This window comes from Homo sapiens, chromosome 1 (genome assembly GCF_000001405.40).
Source record: "Homo sapiens chromosome 1, GRCh38.p14 Primary Assembly".
In the NCBI taxonomy this organism is placed as follows: domain Eukaryota; kingdom Metazoa; phylum Chordata; class Mammalia; order Primates; family Hominidae; genus Homo; species Homo sapiens.
The window spans coordinates 202,145,644-202,167,347 of NC_000001.11; the positions used below are offsets into that span (position 1 = coordinate 202,145,644).

A 21,704-nucleotide genomic window follows, 5' to 3' on the forward strand; every position below is an offset into this window, starting at 1 on the left:
CCAGCCTATGCTGGCTGCCCGTTGGGGTTTGGTTTTCAAATGTAGTCATATGTAGTCTATTGTTTTAGTCAAAAGTGGGTAAACTATCAATATCAACCATATCTGTCCAATCAACTGGAGTTAGATGACCCCAAATAGTCAAACAGTTACCAAAGTAGAAGAATCACAAGGTTTCGGCTAGCATAATATTGTTTTTTTTTTTTTTTTTGATGGGGTCTCACTGTGTGGCCCAGGCTGGAGTGCAGCGGTGGGATCTCGACTCACTGCAGCCTCCACCTCCTCGGGCTCAGGTGATTCTTCTACCTCAGCCTCCCGAGTAGCTGGGACTACAGGCATGCGCCACCATGCCAGCCTAATTTTTGTATATTTGGTAGAGACGGGGTTTTGCCATGTTGTCCAGGCTGGTCTCGAAGCCCTGAGCTCAAGCCATCTGCCTGCCTCAGCCTCCCAAAGTGCTGGGATTACAGGCATGAGCCTGGCCAATATTCTGGTTTATTAAGCACCATCTTTCTAACCTCTGCCCTTTATAAGTCCTCCTCTAGCTCCTAAGATAAAGGCTATGGACTGAATGTTTGTGTCCCCCCAAATTCATAGGTTGAAGTCCTAATCCCTAAAGTGATGGTATTAGGAGGTGATTAAGTCATGAGGGTAGAGCCTTATAAAGGGGGCCGGTGGGATTAGGGGGAAGAATACCAGCCCACAACCTTTTCACCATGCAAGGACAGAAAGAAGGCTCTGCCTAATAGCCAGACACTGAGTCTGCAAGGGTCTTGATCCTAGACTTCCCAGCTTCCAGAACTGTGAGCAACACATTTCTTTTTTTCTTTTTTCTTTTTTTTTTGAGATGGAGTCTTGCTCTGTCATCCAGGCTGGAGTGCAGTGGCATGATAGCTCACTGCACCCTCCACCTCCAGGGTTCAAACAATTCTTCTGCCTCAGCCTCCCGAATAGCTGACTACAGGTGTGTGCTACCACGTCCGGCTAATTTTTTGTATTTTTAGTAGAGACAGCGTTTCACTGTGTTAGCTGGATCTCCTGACCTCGTGATCCGCCTGCCTCGGCCTCCCAAAGTGCTGGGATTACAGGCATGAGCCACCACGCCAGGCCAGCAATACATTTCTGTTGTTTAGAAGCCACATGGTTTACGGTAGTGTGAATTGTTACAGCTGCCTGGGTAGGCTATGAGGGTCCACCCTGTCTCACTTCCTAAATTGACTTTGGTTTCACCTTACTTTATGTCCTTGGAAGTGCTAGAAAAGTGCATATCCCAAGGGCAAAGATTTGCAGCCTGCCTGTCCCTGGTCTGCAGTCTTTCTCTCTTGCTACAAAGAGGCCCCAGAGGGCCAAGAAGAAGATGGAAAGAAGGAATGAGTCAGTCATCCAAGAAGTCTTTATTTTCCCACTTGGTTACTGTTCTGGAGCTTGTACCCTCTGAGCTCTGAGATGGGGTTGGGGGGACAGTGCCAGGGAGGGCCTGTGGGGCTGTGCAGTTGCTTCCCTCTGGGCTGGCTCTGAGCCCAGGGCAGGATCAGGCACTTGAGAGCCCCCCACCGAGCCTCATTGGCATAGACAGTCGTGCCTCTCACAGGGCTCAGGGGAGGTGGAGGTGTGGGCAAGTCCATCCCCAAGGCTGTAAGGAAGGAGCAGCTCCTCCATAAGGCCAAGCAGAAGCATTAGGGAAATCATCCTCAGTTTTAGCACTGCGTGTTCTTCAGGAGAGAAGTCCTGAGTGAGGAGGCCCAGCTGTTCTCCAGATCCAACTCCTCGGGGGTTTCCACAGAGAGCTGGTATCAAGGCAGCTGTCAGGGGCGGCGTGCCTGGTGATGCGGCATCTTACCTTCATCCCCATCTCAGAATGGGCAGCCAGTCTCAGATTCAAGGAGGAGGAATCCTGAGGTGTGGCGTTCAGTCCTGAGGTAGACCTGAGGTCCCCTGGAAATTGTGTTGATGCTGAGATGGATGAGGGGTGCTCATTCTCTCAGGTAGACAGTGAGGAGTCCTGGTTCAGCCGAGCCTCCATGTCTGCATGGATGGTTATGACCCTGATTGTTTTTGGAAACAGCCAAGCTCTCTAGGTGTACTCAGCAAATGCAAGGTATAGTGGGTCCTGCATACCCAGGGTATTATTTGAGCCATGGAAGCAAAACAGAGACTGCTTAGCCTCCCTAAGAGTAGTTGGTGGGAGTGGCCAGCAACCATGGAGGCAGGAGCAGCTCCTCTTTGCCTCTGAGTAGTCCCCACATGTTCCCTCTTCCAGAGATTTCAACTGCCAGGCCTGGTCACCTCTGTAGCCTACTCTTATGACACATGGGTGGAGGCAAGGGTAACCAGAGTCCTTGTTCTTTCTTTTGATTGGGGTCATCCAGCCCTTCCGATGTGTGGTCAGGGAGCAGAGTCACTGATAGGATGTTGAGACTTGGAGATCAGGACCAGACTTTTCCCCATTCTTGCATCTGGCCTGTGCTTGGGCAGGACCTCGGGTGAAGGATGATCTTGGAATCACCCTTTTGTCAGCCCCAGGAAGGAGTGGCTGGAGTGGCTTCTAGAAACTTCTCTCATTACTTTTCCCTCATGGCAGCTAAGCACTTATGTTCATGTTATAGAACAGGAAACTGAAGCTCACAAAGAGTGTCTCAGAGAACACCAGGACACCTGGGCTTCTTTCTTTGTCTGTCATAAATGCCAGCTCCTGTCTTTAAGTTCAGAGAGACATTGGAGGTTCCCCTTACTGTCCATCTGGGGCCAACAGAGGAAGCAGAGGAGTGGCCAGTGTTGAAGACCTGGAATCCGGCCCCTTGTCCTTACTGCTGCTGCTTCCTGTGACTGCAAGCACCACTAAGGAGGCACTCCTTCCCCACACCAACCCAAGGGGTACCCCCAGATCACTCGGCCCACTTTCCCCAGACCCACCTTCCCAGGCTTGAGGGAGGTAGGCACCTGGGCCACCGGAGGGTGGCAGGGGTCAGGGGCTGGGTTCCTCAGGCAGCTGGCCTGCATACAGGGCCAAAGTGTGGTGCAGGAACTGGTACTGCTCTGCCGTCTGGATCATCCCCCCTCTGCAAGGAGAAACACACAGACCATGAGTGAAGGAGGGTCAGGGTGCTGGCTGAATGGCTCCAGTCAAACATCCCTGTGGTCCTACTGGGAAAGTCCTGACTTTCTCAAAGAACATGCCAACTCCTTTGCCTATATTCATCTTTTCACTTTTTTTTTTTTTTTTTTTTTTTTGTGAGACAGAGTCTCACTCTGATAGCCAGGCTGGAGAGCAGTGGTATGATCTCAGCTCACTGCAACCTCTGCCTCCCAGGTTCAAGTGATTCTCCTGCCTCAATCTCCTGAGTAGCTAGGACTACAAGTGCCTGCCACCTTGCCCAGCTAATTTTTGTATTTTTAGTAGAAACAGGGTTTCACCATGTTGCCAGGGTGGTCTTGAACTCCTGACCTCAAGTGATTGGCCCATCTTGGCCTCCCAAACTGCTTGGATTGCAGACATGAGCCACCATGCCCCACCACCTATATTCATCTTTTCTACTTTCTACTCCTCATTGCTGCCCCTCAGATCTGCTGTGAGAGAAGTCCTCTGCCCCTTACACGTGCTGAGGGGTGATGCCCCATGTTGACACTTGGTCTTCCTTGATCCACTCAGCTCCTGGGACAAAACCAGATCTCTGAAGCCTTGGGTCGGGCCAGGAATACTCCTGAGCCTCAAGTTTCCTTCTTTCTAATAATCTTAAAAAGTAAAAATAATGATTCCATACATTTGTATAGTAGTTTCCATTTCCAAAACATTTTCATATAAGTTAACTCATTTCTTACAACAGTTTTCTGGGGGAAGGAGCCATTATCTCTGTCTAGATAAAGAAGAAGTGGGGGCTGGGCACAGTGGCTTAAGCCTGTAATCCCAGCACTTTGCAAAGCCAAGTGGGCATTGTTGAGCCCAGGAGTTCGAGACTAGTCTGGGCAACATAGTGAGACCCCCATCTCTATTATTAAAAAAAGAAGAAAGAAAAAAAAAGAAATGGGGGCTCAGAGAAATCTAGTGACATCTCAGTGAGACAGATGTCAGAATCTGAACACCGGCTCTGCCTCCACCCAGTGATCTTCTTTGCACTACTTGTTGCTGCCTCATATCATGTTTAATTCCAGGCATCCAAGCCAACATTCCAGACAGATATTCTTTTTTTTGTTTTTTTTTTTTTTTTTTTTTGAGTCAGAGTCTTGCTCTGTCACCCAGGCTGCAGTGCGATGGCACAATCTCGGCTCACTGCAATCTCCACCTCCTGGGTTCAAGCAATTGTCCTGCCTCAGCCTCCTGAGTAGCTGGGATCACAGGGGCCCGCACCAGGCCTGGCTAATTTTTGTATTTTTAGTAGAGACAGGGTTTACACCATGTTGGCCAGGCTGGTCTCGAACTCCTGGGCTCAGGTGATCCACCCGCCTCAGCCTCCCAAAGTGCTGGGATTACAGGTGTGAGCCACCGCACCCGGCCATCCAGATAGATATTTTTTCCTGGTTGTTAGTTGTAAAATAAACAGCTCTAAGCAGAAAGGGTTTCTTCCTTTCTTGCAGGAGTGCTTGATGGTGATGGGCCTAGCAGAACTCTGGGGCCCAGAGGCACTGATGCCATCCGTTAACGTTGTTGGCCTTGTTTACACCCACAGACCCACCTGTCTAGCCGCAGTTGGCACACAATACCCAGAATGTCCACTTCTCCTCGGGCTTTCAGCTGTTGACAGCCAATTCGCGTGGCGATGAAGCAGCCCGTCCGGCCAATCCCTGCACTGGAGATAGCCAGGGAGGGGACAGGGAGGTCATGGGAGACCAGGGAATATGAGAGCCAGGCCCCAAACTATGGAGAAAGAAATGGGACCTGCAGGTGCTATATTTTGGGGATAGGGCTCTGGAGATGGAGGCAGGTAGCAGTACTCTGCTTTCCAGTCCCCTTGGGGGCCCTGCTGGAGGCAGGTTTTAATTGGCATGGGAGGAGTTTACATTTCTTACCAGCCTTACTGTAAGCCTGTTGCAGGCCACCTTTTGGTCCCTGTGGACATTTTGACGATCTCCCTTCTGCTGAGTCTACAGTGGTTTCCAACAGACAGTTTCCCACTTGTGGGTGTGCTGACCCTCGAGCCCTCCTTATCTAACCTTGACTTCCTCTCAGCTCAGACTCATCTTCCACGCAGCCCACGCCCGGCCCCTCTGTTTCCCACCTTGGCGCCCTCCCACAGTCTTCTCTCCACTCTGTTCTGCTTTCTCTATCGTGCCCTCTCTTTATTTCAAAACCCCCTAGGCCTCCCCTTCCTCTTGCGTGAGCCCCTAATGACCTCCCTGCACATGTCCCAGTGCTACCTGTGGGTGGGCTGGGAGGCCCCTGTGTCATGCCTTTTGCCTCTGTGCTCTGTTTTATTTAGGATATGCACTCCCAAATGGTCCCTTTCTTTAGTCTTGTCCCCTACGACACCCCCTCACTCTGGCCCAATCCATTTTTCACTCTATAGCCAAAGTGTTCTTTTAAAATGGCAAATCCAAGTGTCTTAGCCAGTCCTCCAAGTCCCCTCATCATCTGACCTTCACTGGCCTTCCAAACCCATCTCTCATCATTACCCCACACACAACCTCTGGGCCTAACCTGTAACCCTGCTCCCAGCAGTGTATCCATTTTCACATTTCTTCTCTGGGCCTTAGCATGTGCTCTTCCACTTGCCTGGAACGTGTTCCCTTCCCTCTCTTCACTTGGCTAATTCACCTTTCAGGTCTTAGCTTGGCTTAGATGGCCTTTCTCTTGGAAAACTTTCTCTGGTCAAAGTCTGGTTTAGGAGACTTGGTTCTATGGTCCCCATAATATCCCCATCACAGCTCTCATCACATTGCGTGGTATTTAATTTTTTTTTGAGACAGAGTTTTGCTCTTGTTGCCCAACCTGGAATGCCATGGTGCGATCTCAGCTCACCACAACCTCCACCTCCTGGGTTCAAGCAATTCTCCTGCCTCAGCCTCCCGAGTAACTGGGATTACAGGCATGCGCCACCATGTGTGGCTAATTTTGTATTTTTAGTAGAGACAGGGTTTCTCCATGTTGGTCAGGCTGGTCTTGAACTCCCGACCTCAGGTGATCCTCCCGCCTCAGCCTCCCAAAGTGCTGAGATTATAAGCATGAGCCACTGCACCCAGCCTAATCTGCCTTCTTTCCCACCAGCCTATAAAACTGTCTGGGAAGAAACCAAACTGCTTGGTTCATAGCTGTCTCCTTAGCAGCTAACACCGTGCCTGACAAAAATAGGTTTTCCTTTTTTGAGATGGAGTCTCGCTCTGTCACCCAGGCTGGAGTGCAGTGGTGTGATCTCGGCTCACTGCCTCCAGAGTTTGAGCAATTCTCCTGCCTCAGCCTCCCAAGTAGCTGGGATTACAAGTGTGTGCTACCACGCCTGGCTAATTTTTGTATTTTTTAGTAGAGACAGGTTTTCACCATGTTGGCCAGGCTGGTCTCAAACTCCTGACCTCAGGTGATCTGCCAGCCCTGGCGTCCCAAAGTGCTGGGATTATAGGTGTGAACCACCGTGCCCGGCCAATAATAGGATTTTCAATACATATTTGTTGAATAAGTAAATGAGTTCCCCAACAGCTGGAATCCTGTTTATGTCCTCCTGCAGCTGACTGGGATCTTCCTGATATTCCATCCCCTCTATGGATGGGGCCTGGGTGTCCAGCCCAGATGTCTGGGTTCTGCGTGAAGGAGGTAAAAAGAACAGAGCCCTTGCTGAATGGCCTTGCGAGTCATGTCTGAGTAAGGACTAGGCTTGCCTGATGCTTTTCTGCTCAGACCCTTCCCCAGGAGAGACCCAGGGGGCAGGGGAGGGGAGCACAGTCCACAGGCTGCAGTGAAGGGAGGGCCACGCACCTGCAGTGGACTACGATAGGCCCGGGGTGGGCGGCTGTCTCCGGGCTCTCCTCCACCTCTGCCACTAGGCGCAGCAGGGGCCCAGCTGATTCTGGTGTCTGATGGTCTGGCCAGGCCGAAAAGAGGATGTGCTTTACTGACCGGCGCTCTTCCTGGTACTGGATTGGAGACAAGGCATGAGAACCAAGGTCAGGGTGGAGGGCACTGTCTACCTTCTTCTCTGGTGCCTGAGGAGGGCAAGGGCTGGAATTACCCTGTGGGGGGGTCATCTACTCAAAGCAAGCTAGGTTGCAATTTTCGTGCTCATTGTTCTCCACCACTTCCCCCTTCAAAATCCCGGGAAGGAGCATTGTCCTGGGAGAGGGGAGAGACCCAAATTCAAGCCCTGGCTCTGCTTCCCATAAGCACATGACTTTGGGCAAGTCCCTTGATCTCATTTTCTTCACCTGGAAAATGGGAACAGTGATATCTTACTGGTTTACTTGCCAGGATATTTGGAGGAGAATGAGTTGATAGAGGAATGCTTTCAAAAATATAAAACACCATAAAATAATAGAAGGCATTTTAAAAGCCCTTGTGTACATGTTATTCCACATCTCTTTCTCTTTTTTTGTTTTATTTTGTTTGTTTTTTTTTGAGACAGACAGTCTCACTCCGTCACCCAGGCTGGAGTGCAGTAGCACAATCTTGGCTCACTGCAACCTCTGCCTCCTGGGTTCAAGTGATTCTCCTGTCTTAGCCTTCCAAACAGCTGTAATTTTTAGTACAGACAAGGTTTCACCATGTTGGCCAGGCTGGTCTGGAACTCCTGACCTCAAGTGATCCGCCCCCCTCAGCCTCCCAAAGTGTTGGGATTACAGGCATGAGCCGCCACACCTGGCCTTCCACATCTCCTTTAACCTCCTCTCCTTCCCTTGGCCCTGCTCCTGGATCCTGCCTGTCCCCGCCTGACCATTTACACAGATGGGTGAGTACTTCCCGGTAGTCCTATTTGGCTTATTGGCTCTGCCCTATTAGACTAGAGGCTGAGGACAGTGCTCAAGTTTCTCTTTCTGCTATAGATGTGGGTTTAAGATGGTTTAGAAGAGCAAACCCTTGGCTCCTAGTGAAGAGCCAGCCTGAGTCCCAGAGATGCTGTGGGCGGCCCAACTTCCCACTGGGCCTGGCTCCGGGGGGGTGGTACCTGGATGGTGAGCTGCCGCACAGTGTATTCTGGGCACTCTTTCATGTCCTGGATGCGGATCTGGAAGGGTCCATAGGTTTCCTCTTCTGTGGGCCAGTAGTGGACACATTTCTAGGAGGGAGGGAGCTGGGAGTCAGAAGAGGGTCAGCTGGAGCAGGTGACAGGGCAGCAGAGAGGGGCTGGTATCTCCTCCCCATCCTCCACCCCTACTGGATGGGAGGTCAGCAACAGGGAGCCTGGCTCTTCTGAGCTTGATACCTGCAAGCAGAGTGCTCACCCTATCCCGTATTTTGGCCATAGACAGCCTCCCAGGGCTATATCTCAGGGAACTTTCTGAGAGGTATGAGCTGGGGCTGGCTCCCAGGGAAACCTCTGGTTCTGAGCTGCCCTGTGTGTGGGGTGGGGGTGGGGTGGGCATAGCACTTTCTGGGTTCATCATGAACTGTGGCTCTGCCTCCTACCTCCTTGCCCTCTCGGAGCTGAGTGAGCATGACAATGAGGGACACTTCCTCTTGCCACACCATCTCCCAGAAGTCCGACACAGTGTTGGGCATGGGGCCCTGGGTGGCAATGTAGACCTTCTCCTTCCCGTCATAGCCCTGGAAGGTGGAAGCACAGGGGAAGGGGTGGGGAGCAGTGAGAGCAGAGCTCTGGGGAGATCCTAGATGCCTCAGGTGCTGGGGTCAGCCTGAAGCTGTGAACCACACGTGTAGACGTACACATGCACGAACACGCACACTCAGAAGCCACATGATGGAAAGGATACGGGTTCTGGAATGAGGATCAGATCCCTGTTCTGCTGTTTCCTGGCTGTACCACTATAAGCCAGTTACCTAGCCTCCGTAAGCCTCAGTGGTATCATCTGTAAATTGGGCATAATAATATCTATCTTGTAGGAATGTAGAGTGGATTAAATTCAGTAAGATATATTGAGAGTCTAGCCGATAGCAAGTGCTCTATAAATGTTTATTCCCTTCCTCCCCTGCTGCTTTCTTCTAGCACAAAATACCTAAACAGTGTTTAATATTTGTTCAGTGACAGTTTCACATTTACAGGTTACTACTTTTCTATGAAAGTAGTAGCAAAATGTAGCACACTCTCCCTAACCTGATTTTCTCACCTTCAGGATCCTCAGCTTCCTGCTTCTCAAGATGGTGAAATCCAGACTGCAGTTGATCCGGTATTGGCCGGCAAATGTAAGATCATGTTTCCCCATGGCTTCCCTAGCTAAGAGCTTTTCGCCTCCCTGCGCCCCTGACTGATGTCTTACCCACATTGAGTCACTAGAGAGCGCTGCTTTTACATCTCCTTAGGGCCCACAGCAGCGAGAAGCTGGCGTGGAACACCCACCTGGCCTGGAGCTTCCTATAGCTTGACGTCAATCAACCATCTTCATATAAGAGGGGCTATCTGAGGGGCAGTTAAGGTAAGTTGGCGGGGAGGTCCCATTAGTGCTGGCATCACCTATGCAGTTCTCGGGAGCTGTGAGCTCTTAAGCAGCTGGAGATTGGGTTCAACAATGCTAACTTCCTGCTAAGTTTAGAGGGTGGCATGGGAGGACTGATAGTGGAGGTTAGGGAGACTTGGTGGTCTCTCCAGATATTTTTCAACATCTGCTCCGTTTTTTAGGTTGGTGTTTTGGGGCATGTTCAGTACCAGCCCAGCTTGGTAGGGCTATGACAGCAGTGAGCTGGAGCAGGGAGGGTAGGAAATGCAGGCACCTGATCCACCAGCCATGGCTGGAAGATATTCTCAGACGTCTGAGAATTCCCCCATTCCCCGCCCACCACTGCAGCCAGGCCACTCACTCGGATGTAGTTGGCATTGATGTAATCTCCGTCCTCCTGGCTCTGTGCCCGGCCTAGACAGACACGGCTCTGGGGATCTAGGAAATAAAAATCAGCAGAGGTCAGAGGTCAGAAGGTGACCAACTAACACAGACTCAAGCAGGGTCAGAAAGAGGAGAGTTCCTGTGCTCATCACAGTCATAGCACCTTGTGTATAGCAGGTGGCCTTACACCCACTGAAGTTGTTGTTTTTGTTGTTGTTTTTAGAGACAGGGTCTCATTCTGTTGCCTAGGCTGGAGTGCAGTGGTGCGATCATAGCTCACTGTAACCTCTAACTCTTGGGCTCAAGTGATACTTTTGTCTCAGCCTTTGACATAGCTGGGACTATAGGCAAATGCCACCACACCTGGCTTGCTTATTTATTTATTTATTTACGTTTTTTGTAGAGATTGGGTTTCACTTTGTTGCCCAAGCTGGTCTTGAATTTCTGACTTCAAGCAATTCTCCCACCTCAACCTCCCAAAGTGCTGAGATTACATGTGTGAGCCACCATGTCTGGCCCCTATTGAAGTATTTTATACGCAGACAGTAGGAAGCTGTATAATGTTTTTGAGCAGGAGAGTGACATGATCAAAACAATAGTTTGGGAAGATTAACTGAGTGGTGCTGTATAGGATGGACTAGAGAAGAAAGGGAACGGAACAGCAGAGACCAAATGGGAAGATACAATATTAGATATAATATTCTAATAGATACAGTATTCTATCCTTGAGATCAGTACAGGTTTAGAACAAGATTATGCCACTAGGGATGGAAAAAGAGATGTAGAGGAAGAAGAATTTGTTTTCTAATGGTGAATATGGGATTCACATGAGCAACTTGCCAGATATCACATAGCTGTGAAGTGGGACTAGGACTCAGATTCCGCTCAGCCACGAGGCATTTGGCCTCTGCCTCTAAGGGGGAAGGATTTCTCTAAATGAAACCCAAACATGGATGAAGAAGCTGGCTTGTGAGGAAAGGAGAAGAGACTCTCGCTCTGCTCATGCCAGCCTGGTCATGGACAGAAGGTACCCTGGGGACCAGGGGAATCTCAGGCAAAGGAATTTTTCCCTTTTCTGGTGGCTGCAGGGCTGATTAGAATTAGGCCAAGAACAAGGGCTACTCCTCCCCCTGGCCTGGAATAGCGCTAATAGCACCTTGATCCGCCCATGCAGGCAGAGGACACTCCAGGAGGGTTAGCAGGAGACAGGGCCCGAGTGCTCACTGAGCTAAAGCCTCAAGCTGGGAGTAGCTTCCCTGTAGGGAGAGCAGGGGAGGGAGGGAGAGGCTCCGGGGCCTCATGCCTGCCTCCGAAAAATAGAAGGTGCTTGCTCCGGGTCTGCCAGTTTGCAGGGTCACCCCCTCCTAGCACAGTGTCCTCCCTCCCCGCCTCCACTGCTCTCTTGCTGGCCGTTGCCCTGTCTCCATCTGACTTTCTCAAAGCCATCTCTCTGGGAGCCCTCCTGGTGGTGCTTCCTTCACTGCAAGCCTTGGCTGGGCATTTCCCATGCAAGAGGAAGACAGGGAAAGGGGCTTGGTGCAAGTAGCTAAGTTGAATATCTTAGGTAAGATATTCAACTTCTCTGTGCCTTAGTTTCCTCACTTGTAAAATGGTCATCACAGTACCAACTTCATGGGATTGTTGTGAGAAATGAGTGAATATAAAGGATTGAGGCTGGACGCGGTGGCTTACGCCTGTAATCCCAGCACTTTGGGAGGCCGAGGTGGGCGGATCACCTGAGGTCGGGAGTTCGAGACCAGCCTGACCAACATGGAGAAACCCCACCTCTGCTAAAAATACAAAATTAGCCACGCATGGAGGCGCATGCCTGTAATCCCAGCTACTCGGGAGGCTGAGGCAGGAGAATCGCTTGAACCCGGGAGGCGGAGGTTGCAGTGAGCCCAGATTGCGCCATTGCACTCCAGCCTGGGTGACGAGAGTGAAAACTCCGTCTTAAAAAAAAAAAAAAGGATTGAGAACAGGGCCTGGCCCAGGGTACATATCTGCAAACATTATTATTGCTGCTGTTGTGATTCTTGCTCCTTCTTCCCCCTTTCTCTGCTGAGAGAAGATGTGCCAAGCAAGGTTGATCTTCCCTGGCTGAAACTGTGTACTTTGTCCTCTGAAGTTCTCTAGCCCCAGGGACTGTACCCGACTCCCTTCATCCCAGCAGCAGTTCTTACTTGGCAAGATGGTCTTGTATCGGTCCTTGGAGGCGTGGCCAGGGATGTCCAGGTCTTCGGGGCTGACAAAGTTTGAAGGGATCTTCTGGCAGGGGGAGGAAATGGGTGAGCAGCTGACTCCTAGCCTCCTTTTCTCTCCTTCTACCTTTTTCTAGAACAGCTGGACTCTGGCCATTCCTTCTTGACAATAGTATGTAGGCCTAGATGGGGTGGGGGCAGAAGGGGAAGCCTGGGGGCAGCCCCTCCCTCAGCCCTGAAGTTCTCTTTCCTAAGGGGCCCAAAGGGGAGACTTGCCCAGGGTGCCCGTGAGAGAATGGTTCCAGCTGGCTGCCTCTGATACAGAGGGCAGAGCGATTCAGAGGGGACCCCAATTTCTTACCAAGAATTCTTCTTCCAGTTGCTTGGGGCTGGGTGGCTGGCGCTGAAGGGCCCAGCGGGTAAGGGGGTGTCCAGCAGTGCGCAGAAAGTGTAGGGTGACCTCCCGGGGTGTGTTCACAGAGCAGATGGGTTCTACGGCCCCCAGGGACCGAACGTCCAGCATCAGAGCCACATTGGAGCCCCGCCTGCAGGCATAGCCCACCACTGCCTAGTGAGCACCCAATCATATTTGCTTTTCTTTTCTTTTTATCTTTTCTTTTAGAGATAGGGTCTCTCTCTGTTGCCCAGGTCTGGAGTGTGATGGCACTATTATGGCTCACAGCAGCCTCAAACTCCTGGGCTGAAGCAATCCTCCCACCTCAGCCTCCAGAGTAACTGGGACCACAGGTACATGCTACCACACCTGGCTAATTTAAGTTTTTTTTTTTTTTGGAGAGACAGTGTCTTGTTCTGTTGCTCAGGCTGGTTTTGAACTCCTGGGCTCAAGTGATCCTTCTGCCTTGGCTTCCCAAAGTGCTGGGATTATAGGCATGAGCCACTGTGCCTGACCATATTTGCTTTTCTTACAAGTATTACTGTTATAAGGCACCTCTGAGGGGGCCGCTCTTTATCTTTCCTTTAACCTGGTAGCCCAGTAAATTTAGGGTTTGGGCCCCTGCTGTGTGCCCTCTTTTTTTTTTTTTTTTTGAGAGAGAGGAGGTCTCACTATATTGCCTAGGCCGGTCTCTAATTCCTGGACTCAGGAGATCCTCTCACCTCAGCCTCCCAAAGTGCTGGGATTTTGGGCATGAGCTACCATGCCTGGCTCAGCCCTCTCCCTTTGTCAGCCAGAACAGGGCAGCCTTGAACTCAACTGCTCCTTCCAGCTGCCTGCCTCTTCCCACTCCCAGCCAGGCCCTGTGGCTCCGACATGCATCCAGCACCAAGAAGGCTGTGGGCCTTGCCTGGAATTTAGGGAGCAGGCTCATGGTTGATATGAAACTCTGTGCTCCAGACATGCAAAAGACATGCAAATGAGCACTACTGGTTTCCTTTCCAAATTGGAGTCAACAACTGAGGGCCCTCTGGACCCTGCTGTCAGAGCTGGAGGGGCAGATGGAAGGAAGGGAGGAGCGGAATGGGGGCTCAGGGCTCGGAAGACCCCTCCCCCAGGGAAGATCTCACCTCTCCTGCAGTCGCACATGCTTCTTGGCTGGCGTTTTTTCAGGCGGAGGCTGGGTCATGGCTGCCCCCAAAGACAAGGTCAACGGCTGTGCTCTGGAGCGCCCCCCATGGGCTTGGACCATGCTGAGGTGGGGTGCTGGGCCCAGGGGAGGCTCACTCAGCCATGAGGTCTGCCTGAAAGACAGGGCCCTCCGCTGCTGTTCTCTGGCCTGCCTGATTGGCCAGAAGGAGGCTCCCATGCCAGGCCAGGTTTGCACTCTGTTTTCACTGGGGCGTCTTCTGTTCCCCAAGAGGTGGCCTCATTTTCACTAAGGGAAGGACAGGATCTATTTGGTGGGACCCAGGGCAGAAGGCAGTCTCGGGGTAGAGTAACGGCAAGATAAAGGGTAGAGATTGTGGATGAAGATAGGAAAGAATCCAGAAGGAGGAAAAGAGAGAGGGGAGAGAGGCCACACACCAGAGTACACAGGGCTCTGAGCAGGTCCAAGTGGGAGAAGGCAAGGGAGGAAACAGAAAATATGTGTTCTCTAGGACGGAAGGGAGAAAGCACGCAGAAGCCATCTCTGAGCTAACCAGTGGGCCTTCCCCTGAACAGAGAATGGAGGCCTCCAGCAGTGTTGGAGCTGGTTGGGCAGCCAGGCAGGCGGGCTCCTGGACCCCAGCAGGGTCCTCTCCTAACTGCTGCTGTTCCACTCCCAGGTCTGTTTCTGGCTTCTGGGGTCTCTGTCCAGGGAGGTAGGCTGGAGGTGTTTCCTTCCTCCTCCTGCCCATCCCCCCGTCTCCCGCCTCTGTAACCGTCACAGGAAATGGCCTCACCAAGCCCTTGAACGACAGCGCATGGTGAGGCGACAGCTGGGGGCAAGACAGGAGGCATGGAGGTGGTGGGACCATCTCCTCTTGGGGGCAGTCCCTATCTCCCAGAGCCAGGGTCACAGTGGGCGAGGTGGCGGGGGTGTTGAATCACCAAGGCAGCAGGGACGGAGGTGAGGGGACAGAATGGGCCTGGCACAGGTGTGAGTGGTAGAGCGAGGGTCTCTGGTAGCAGAAAAGGTCCCTTCAGCCTCTGCTCTCCTTGTAGCTCCCTGTGGCTTCCCTGCTCACCCCCGTCTTGGGGACATCAGGTCTGTGAGCACCCATACCCCAGCCAGGCACTGTGGCGCCCCACTCGCCCTCCCGCACTCCCTCCTAGAGATGCCCTCTTATATCCCCGGAGTTCGCACCCCCCGGGGCCACAGGACTCCCAGTCCCCCCTTCAGATACTTACTGAAGCAGCTGTGGCCCCCAGGCTGCCTCTTGCCAGCTGTCTGTCTGTCTGTCGGTCTGTCTTTGAGGGCTGAGAAGGCTCCAGGAAGCCAGCTTCCTCCCTCCGCCCCTCCTTGCTGCCACCCACGCACACCCCAGCTGCATTCTGCCCTCCTGTGCCTGCTGCCGCTGCCACCAGGGGTCGGCTGCCTCCCGCCTGTGCCCTTCTGGGGCCCAAGGCCCCGTTCCCTGGGAATGGGTGAGGGGCCAGGCCTTCCCGACCATCCTGCTTTCCCCAGCTTCCAGACCCTCTCCCCTCTTCTGTGTTTCTCCTCTGGGTCTTTGTCACATCCAGCCGCTGCCTACTTGCTGGGCACAGCTCGCCTGACCCCCAGCTCTGTGCTGTCCCACAAAGAACCCAAGGCTCTCCTGCTCAACCTGACCTTGGCCGGAGGCTTATTTCTCCTTCTCTGCTTCTGCCCCACAGCCCTCTCCCTCAAGGCCCTCTCCCTCAAGGCCCTCTCCCTCAAAGCCCTTGCTGCTTCAAGCCTTGGGAATTCATGGCCAAGCACAGACCACATCTTCCCAGAGCAGATGTGGCACAGACTCGGGGTGGGGAAAAAGAAGAAGCAAGAATCCATGCCTCACAATGTGAAGGAAAGGGCCGGGGCCAGGCCAAAAAGGTCGTCTCCACGCCTGTGCCACGGCCCAGCTCTCCACAGCCCACGGCCTGAGTGTAGGCCAGCCCAGCAGGAAGCAGATAGCAGAGTCCACTTGTGGGAGGGAGTCCGAGGGGCTTCCCCTGGGCCCTCAGCCCCCTGCAGGCCTCCTCCCAGAACCCTGACATCTACTTAGAAGACTTACAGACAGTGGACAGTCTCTGGCCCTCACACCAGGGGACTCCCATGTCCTCTTCGCTGCTGGGGTGCCTGGATGCCTGGGACCTGAAGGGTGGCCCCCAAGTCCAAGACTCCTCTGCCCACTGCCCCTGCCTGACCTTGGCAGGCTCCTTGCGGGCCAGCAGCCCAGCCGGTTCATGCTCGCTGCACGCCTCCTTTTACCTTGTAACATTTCAAACGCCCTTCCCTTCCCGGCCCCCAACATGCACAATCCACGTCCTCTTTCTTCCTCCCACTTCCCTGATTCAGCTGTCAAATGGTGACAGCAAAAAAGAAATGAGGTACCCTAGGCACAGGGGGTAGGCATGCCGGAGGGGGTGGTCGGGAGGGGGCTGGCCTTCTGCTGGCCCCTTGAGGAGGAGGGTTGAGACGAAGAACAAGAACAGCCCCCAGAGGCTCAGAAGGCCTCCCAGCACCCGCCCTTGCTCTTGGCAGTGGGGACAGGGGCTGGCTCTTTTTTGAGCCCCTCCATGGCCAGCTGATCCTGGCACCTCCTTCCCTGCAGCCTGCGTTCCTCTCCGGAGTGGGTGGGTTTCCCTGAGGAGGAGGCCGATTAGGGCTGGGAAAGGGGTTGGTTCCCGTGCTCAGGACAGACTGGAGGGAAGCAGGAACCTGGGAATCCCTAACATGCTTGCGAGCAGTGACCTGGAGACTGGCCTCTGCCTCACCCCCCACACCAGTCAGTGTTTCCACTGGTGGGTAGTGGGGGCCCTGGGGACACAGGAGGGGGCAGGTGGGGGTTGGAAAGAGGGCCCGGCTCTGAGCCTATGCTGATTGTTATCAAGAACAGGAAGCTAGGACACCACAGGGGTGGGAGGAGGAAGCGGCAAAGCCCTCCCCACACAGGTCTGCCTGGTCCCCCCAAGTTTCCAGGGTCTGAGCCCTGTTGGCTGTGAGCCCACCCCTTTCCCCCACAGACTGAGGCCTAGCAGTGGCTGGACAGTTGGAAGCTGAGCTTCACAGCAAGGAAGCTGGGAGCCAGGCGATGGGGAAGATAGTTGGGGTTGGGGGTGGGGGTAGTGGCTGAGCATTAGGCAAGACCTCTCAAAGATCCCCTGTTCCCTCTGGGTGGATGTGGGGTAGAGGGGACAGTCACTCCTTGGCTCCTGCCCACTCCTTCTTCCCCTGTGCTTAGGGATACCTGGACATCCATGGAGGTGTGTGGCCAGAGCTCATGAGGGCTGAGGATGCCAACTGCAACCTCAGATGGCACAAGACATGCGTCATCGCCCTGCACCTCCCCCTCCCCAGCCTGGCCTGGTGACTTGGGACGCCCCTCTCTGCCCTCTCTGGAGTGGACTCTGTCCCATCCGGGCTGTTGGAAGGCTCCTGGGCGTGACTCCCTCTCCCCTCCAGAACCTTCCCACCCCTGGGGCCAAAAGGTCACAGCAGCTCTCAAACTTCCATCACTCGAATCGATTTGTGTTCCTGGGTTGAGATTTAGGTTCTAGCCACCCTCGACTCCAGAGAAAGTATAGTAATAGTTGGAAATCAGAAAGATCTATGCATAATGAGTCTAAACGTAGCTTATTAACTGTGTGACCTTGGGCAAATTGCTGAGTCTCAGGCTCCTCCTCAGCTTCCTCCCTCCACTGGGGGATGATCATAGCACCTCCCTTGTCAGCCCATGGTGTGCTTTGCTCACGGAGGAGAGGTTGGGAGTCAGCAGCCAGAGGACCGAGGAGCTGGGAGGAGCTGGCTGGGGAAGTGGGTCTGGGAGCAGCACAGGGTGAGGAGGTCATGGCTGCCGGGTCTCACCTCTCACCAGCCTCCCTCTTCCTCCTCACTGCTGACTTTCTCCCTGAACCCGGGCTGCCGGGGCACTTCCAGCCGAGCACTGAGGAAGTGCAGGAAGGAGTCACTCCCAGGGGTCTCCCAGCATCCCGGGTGGGACAGAGTCCACTCCAGGGAGGACAAAGAGGGGTGTCCCAAGCCACCAGGCCAGGCTGGGGAGGGACTGGTGCAGGGCATGATGCATCTTGAGAGTCAGCCTTGTCCCATCTGAGGCTGTGGTGGGTGCCCTCAGCCCTCCCAAGCTCTGGCCACACACGTCTTGACTCTCTTGTTTTCCCCTCTAGTGATTCCCAGTTCCAGGGCTGTGAGCCGCAGCTCCCTGCCCCAAGTGTCAGAAGCGCCCCCCTCCCTAGCCCAGGCCCGGGGAAAGGCGGACATTACATCTGGAATTCCCAGAAGTCGTTGCTCTTTGCCAGCCCCTAGGGAGTAGGGAGCTCCTTGCTGGGGAGCAGTTGGCCCCCAGAGGCAAAGGCTGCCACCTTTTAACAATCCAAGGGGAGGATCCTGGGGAGAGAGTCAGCTGCCTGGGGCCAGGACTGCTGGGTCCTGCACACTCCAGCTGCTCTGCCCCCTTCCTAGCTGCCCTCCTCGGCTCCTCTCTGGAGAAGCACTAGGATCTCGGGTGGCTGTTCCTCCATCCTTCCCACCCCCAAAACCCTAGGCCAGCCTGAGCTGGCTTGTTCTGCCCCAACTTTGTAGGCCCTGGCTTGTTCCTGTTTGTGTCGGGGAGACAGAAACACCAAGAACTGGATCTGGGAAGCCTCATCCCACAGGAAGCAGGGAGACAGCAGGGGAGACAGGGTGAGTGGGGCAGGGAAGTGCTGTTAAGGGCATGGGATAAGTCCAGGCTGACCAGAGTGACAACTGCACCCCTGTCTCAAAGCTTCAACCCTGTGCCGGGCCAGCTAGGGACCTCCTGCTACCTTTTGGATGAAGGGGAACATCCCATACCCTTTACCCCTGGCTGAGAGGACCAGTAATCCAGCCCTGCTTGGCACTGGGATGCCAGGGCCAGCCTGCCAGGAGGTCCAGGAAAGTGCCTGGTTCTTTGCCCGATGCTGGAACTCAGGACCCTGGCAGGAAGGTTTTAGGATAGAAGAGTCCCTCCCTCTCTCCCAAGCCCAGAGCCAGCCAAATGGACATCTATTCTACAATGTGGCCTTTTCTTCCCAGGGGCTCCCGTCTCCCTCCCGCTCTGTGTTGTCCCCGGACACCCACTCATACATCCATCCAGACAGGTGTGTACACCCTCATGGCCCACGTTTGCACAAATGCACATGCACAGTGTCAATCCACACATGACCAGCCCCTCCCCTGCTCTCCCATGGCCTGGTCAGGGGGACCTAGGCCTTCCCCCACTCCCTGGCCACCTTCCCCATAGTATAGGCAGCAGGGGGAGTGGGCGACTTGGCTGTCCTGAGCCACCCTGCCCCTCTGCTGCCCGGTGATTATCTTCCTCCAGTGTGGGGGCTGCCCAAGGCCAGGCTTCAGGCTGTGGGAGAGCAGGGAGGGGCCGGAAGAGCGCTGCCTGGGACAGCTGTAGGCCAGGCCAGTTCACATTTGGAAGCCAGCACTCCCAGACCTGCCCCTTGCTCTCTCCTCTGCCTCCTGGCTGGCTCTCTCCAGAAGGAATCAGTAAGGTGCCCTGAGACCTCAGGGTAGCGGGGGGGAACCCCAGGGGTTCTCTAGGGAGAGGATGTGGGTTTGTCTGTGGGGGTGGTTGCTGGGGAGGAGATACAGCCCTCGTGGTACCTTTTCTTTTGCTGAATGGAGACGTTTGGGCTGGGGAGGCTGCTGCTTATTTATTTTATTTTTTTTGAAACGGAGTCTCACTCTGTCACCAGGCTGGAGTGCAGTGGTGCCATCTCAGCTCACTGCAACCTCTAACTCCCTGGTTCTAGTGATTCTCCTGCCTCAGCCTCCCGAGTAGCTGGGATTACAGGCATGTGCCGCCACACCCAGCGAATTTTTTGTATTTTTAGTAGAGACGAGGTTTCACCATTTTGGCCAGGATGGTCTTGATCTCCTGACCTGGTGATCCGCCCACCTTGGCCTCCCAAAGTCCTGAGATTACAGGCATGAGCCACCATGCCCAGCTTATTTATCAGAACCTCTAGGGGCCCTGTCTCCCGGTCCCCTAGGCTGCGCTGGGGGCTGGCAGCTGTGCATCTTAGGGCCAGGTGCCTCCTCAAGGCTCCGTCCAAAGGACTAGCTATGGAGTCTGTGCTGGGCCCCGCAGACCGCTTTTTTGTGGGGACTCTTGAGCAGGTTCTGACACACTCTGCCTCTACCTAGGCATGTGTCCTGTGTGTCTCTTCTCCTTAGATTCCGAATTAGGGCGCCTCCACCCCGCCTCTCCCCTTCTTGGTTGCTGATCAAGGCTACCAGAAAGAACAGAGTGAGATGTCCCCAGGTGAGGTGGGATGAGGGTGGGATGAGAAGGTACGATGTTTCCGCCACCTCTTGGCCAGACTGGGACCTCTTCCCTTTCACATCAGTTTCCCTGGTTGCAACCTTCCCCCGCCCGCCGCCCCCGCCTTTCAAAAGAGCACATATGCGCAGGCGCACACACGGCCTGGAAAATCTCCTGAGTCTGCAGTGCTGAGTTTCCAGGCCCCCATCCAGGGGCCGGGTGGGCGGCTCTGAGGTTTGGGGCTAGGTGGAGCGGGGGAGGAGCAAGCAGCCCCTGGCTGTGGCCTGAGCAGGGAGCTGGGCTGAGCTGGTCTTGGAGGCAGGCTTGTCCTCCCTGCTGGGGCAGGCCCAGGAGAATCCAGCTACCACAGAGGCTGCGTTGGTGTTCAGACTTCTATACCTGTGTGTTTTCCACACATCCCCTCTCCCCACTACCTGAGTTTGTTCTGAGTCCTGGGCTTCACTCCCAGGGCCCAAAGCCTTTTCTTCCATTCTCACTCCTCATCCTCAGCTGTCTGTAGGTGGGAGCACCTGGGTGAGCAGCTCGGGGTGACTCAAGGGCTCTAGTCAGGAGTAAAGCAAAGCCCCAAGTTCATTATCTTTGAGGCCAGGCCTCAGGCAGGCTTGCCTGGGTTCCAGCAGTGCCCAAAGCCAGGTGGGGGTTGGGAGGGGCAGGGGAACCAGGATGGACGCTGCTGATTCGGGGAAAAGAAGTGGGGGAAGGCAAGCAAAAGTCCCAGGTACTTGAATTGCTCCTCAGAGGATTCCCAGCTGAGAGGACCCCAATTTGGGAGGTTTGGAGCAGGGTCTGCCATCTCTGTTCTATGGAGTCCGAGGTCCCAGGTTCAAGCCCAGCTTTTCTGTTCAGACACTTGGGCTCTTCCCCTCTCTGGTTATCAGCTTCCTCATCTGGCAGTGATGAGGTGGGACCAGAGGAGGCCCAAGGGCCAGGTGGGCTCTAGATCTACAATTGCTGTGACTCAGCAGCCAAAGTATGTGCTTCTGTCCACAAGAGCGTGGTACCACATGGATATACAAAAGGAGACACACACTCAGCTGGCCATCCACCTAGGACACAGGAACACACATCCACATGGTGTCACCAAGACCACACGCACCCCCACAGAAACACTATCTATCTCGCACTCGGTGATGGAGTCAACAGACACTGTGCCCCTCCTCCAGAGCCAAGGAGTGGGACAGCCAGCTGCAAATGTGTCCATTTGCAGAGCCACCTCTCCTCTTGGTCTTCCCCAAGAGCACAGGACACTTTCCTCCCTGGAGAGCTGAGGGCTGGGAGTGGGCTACAGGTAGGGGAGGCATTAAGGAAGGAGACCACTACTACTTCTGCTGCCCTCCCTCCTCCCCCTCACCTTGCCTAGTTCACAAGACAGGAGGAAAGAGAGAAAGCAAAAAGTTGGAAAGAAACAGAAGTTAAGTAGCCAGACAACCTTAGCACCACCACCCGGCCCTAGGAGTTAAAAAAGTAATAATAATAATATCAACCCCTGACCTAAACTACTTGTGTTATCTGTGAATTCCAGACATTGTATGAAAAAGCACTGCAAAACTTTCTGTTCCGTTAGCTGATACATGTAGCCCCCAGTCACGTTCCCCACGCTTGCTCAATTTATCACGACCCTTTCACGTGGACCCCTTAGAGTTGTAAGCCTTTAAAAAGGCCAAGAATTTCTTTTTCAGGGAGCTCGGCTCTTAAGAC

General features: G+C 53.9%; 1 protein-coding gene across 16 annotated transcripts, besides 7 other annotated features; it reads right to left on the bottom strand.

Annotated features, from left to right (window-relative positions):
- Window positions 1-1,369: 1,369 nt before the first annotated feature.
- Window positions 1,370-15,945, bottom strand: PTPN7 (protein tyrosine phosphatase non-receptor type 7). Of its 16 annotated transcripts, XR_921906.2 has the most exons (12): window positions 14,902-15,945; window positions 13,638-13,811; window positions 12,475-12,658; window positions 12,096-12,180; window positions 9,890-9,966; window positions 8,543-8,680; window positions 8,082-8,192; window positions 6,899-7,056; window positions 4,668-4,781; window positions 3,592-3,729; window positions 2,911-3,056; window positions 1,373-2,823 (listed from the first exon to the last, which is right to left on the bottom strand). XR_921906.2 is itself a non-coding variant. In XM_047426297.1 (11 exons), the coding sequence occupies exons 2-11, from the start codon at window positions 13,654-13,656 to the stop codon at window positions 2,963-2,965; spliced, it is 1,065 nt and encodes a 354-aa protein (XP_047282253.1). In that variant the 5' UTR covers window positions 13,657-13,698; window positions 15,744-15,945; the 3' UTR covers window positions 1,370-2,962. The 16 variants fall into 16 exon arrangements, 11 of the variants coding, with proteins under 11 accessions (XP_047282253.1, XP_011508122.1, XP_011508121.1 ...); XM_047426297.1 differs by having other exon boundaries at window positions 1,370-3,056; window positions 12,475-12,605; window positions 13,638-13,698; window positions 15,744-15,945; XM_011509820.3 differs by having other exon boundaries at window positions 1,370-3,056; window positions 13,638-13,698; window positions 15,744-15,945.
- Window positions 9,441-9,490: a silencer, noted in NCBI's record as "silent region_1699". NCBI's record gives its function as "represses an Ori minimal core promoter by ATAC-STARR-seq in GM12878 lymphoblastoid cells {active_cell/tissue: GM12878}" and the evidence as "EXISTENCE:reporter gene assay evidence [ECO:0000049][PMID:35858748]".
- Window positions 13,580-13,719: an enhancer, noted in NCBI's record as "active region_2327". NCBI's record gives its function as "activates an Ori minimal core promoter by ATAC-STARR-seq in GM12878 lymphoblastoid cells {active_cell/tissue: GM12878}" and the evidence as "EXISTENCE:reporter gene assay evidence [ECO:0000049][PMID:35858748]".
- Window positions 13,820-13,909: an enhancer, noted in NCBI's record as "active region_2328". NCBI's record gives its function as "activates an Ori minimal core promoter by ATAC-STARR-seq in GM12878 lymphoblastoid cells {active_cell/tissue: GM12878}" and the evidence as "EXISTENCE:reporter gene assay evidence [ECO:0000049][PMID:35858748]".
- Window positions 14,170-14,249: an enhancer, noted in NCBI's record as "active region_2329". NCBI's record gives its function as "activates an Ori minimal core promoter by ATAC-STARR-seq in GM12878 lymphoblastoid cells {active_cell/tissue: GM12878}" and the evidence as "EXISTENCE:reporter gene assay evidence [ECO:0000049][PMID:35858748]".
- Window positions 17,780-18,448: an enhancer, noted in NCBI's record as "H3K4me1 hESC enhancer chr1:202132551-202133219 (GRCh37/hg19 assembly coordinates)". NCBI's record gives its function as "activates a minimal SCP1, AML or CMV promoter by ChIP-STARR-seq in naive H9 embryonic stem cells {active_cell/tissue: H9 hESC(naive)}" and the evidence as "EXISTENCE:reporter gene assay evidence [ECO:0000049][PMID:30033119]".
- Window positions 19,028-19,528: an enhancer, noted in NCBI's record as "H3K4me1 hESC enhancer chr1:202133799-202134299 (GRCh37/hg19 assembly coordinates)". NCBI's record gives its function as "activates a minimal SCP1, AML or CMV promoter by ChIP-STARR-seq in naive H9 embryonic stem cells {active_cell/tissue: H9 hESC(naive)}" and the evidence as "EXISTENCE:reporter gene assay evidence [ECO:0000049][PMID:30033119]".
- Window positions 20,172-20,751: an enhancer, noted in NCBI's record as "H3K4me1 hESC enhancer chr1:202134943-202135522 (GRCh37/hg19 assembly coordinates)". NCBI's record gives its function as "activates a minimal SCP1, AML or CMV promoter by ChIP-STARR-seq in primed H9 embryonic stem cells {active_cell/tissue: H9 hESC(primed)}" and the evidence as "EXISTENCE:reporter gene assay evidence [ECO:0000049][PMID:30033119]".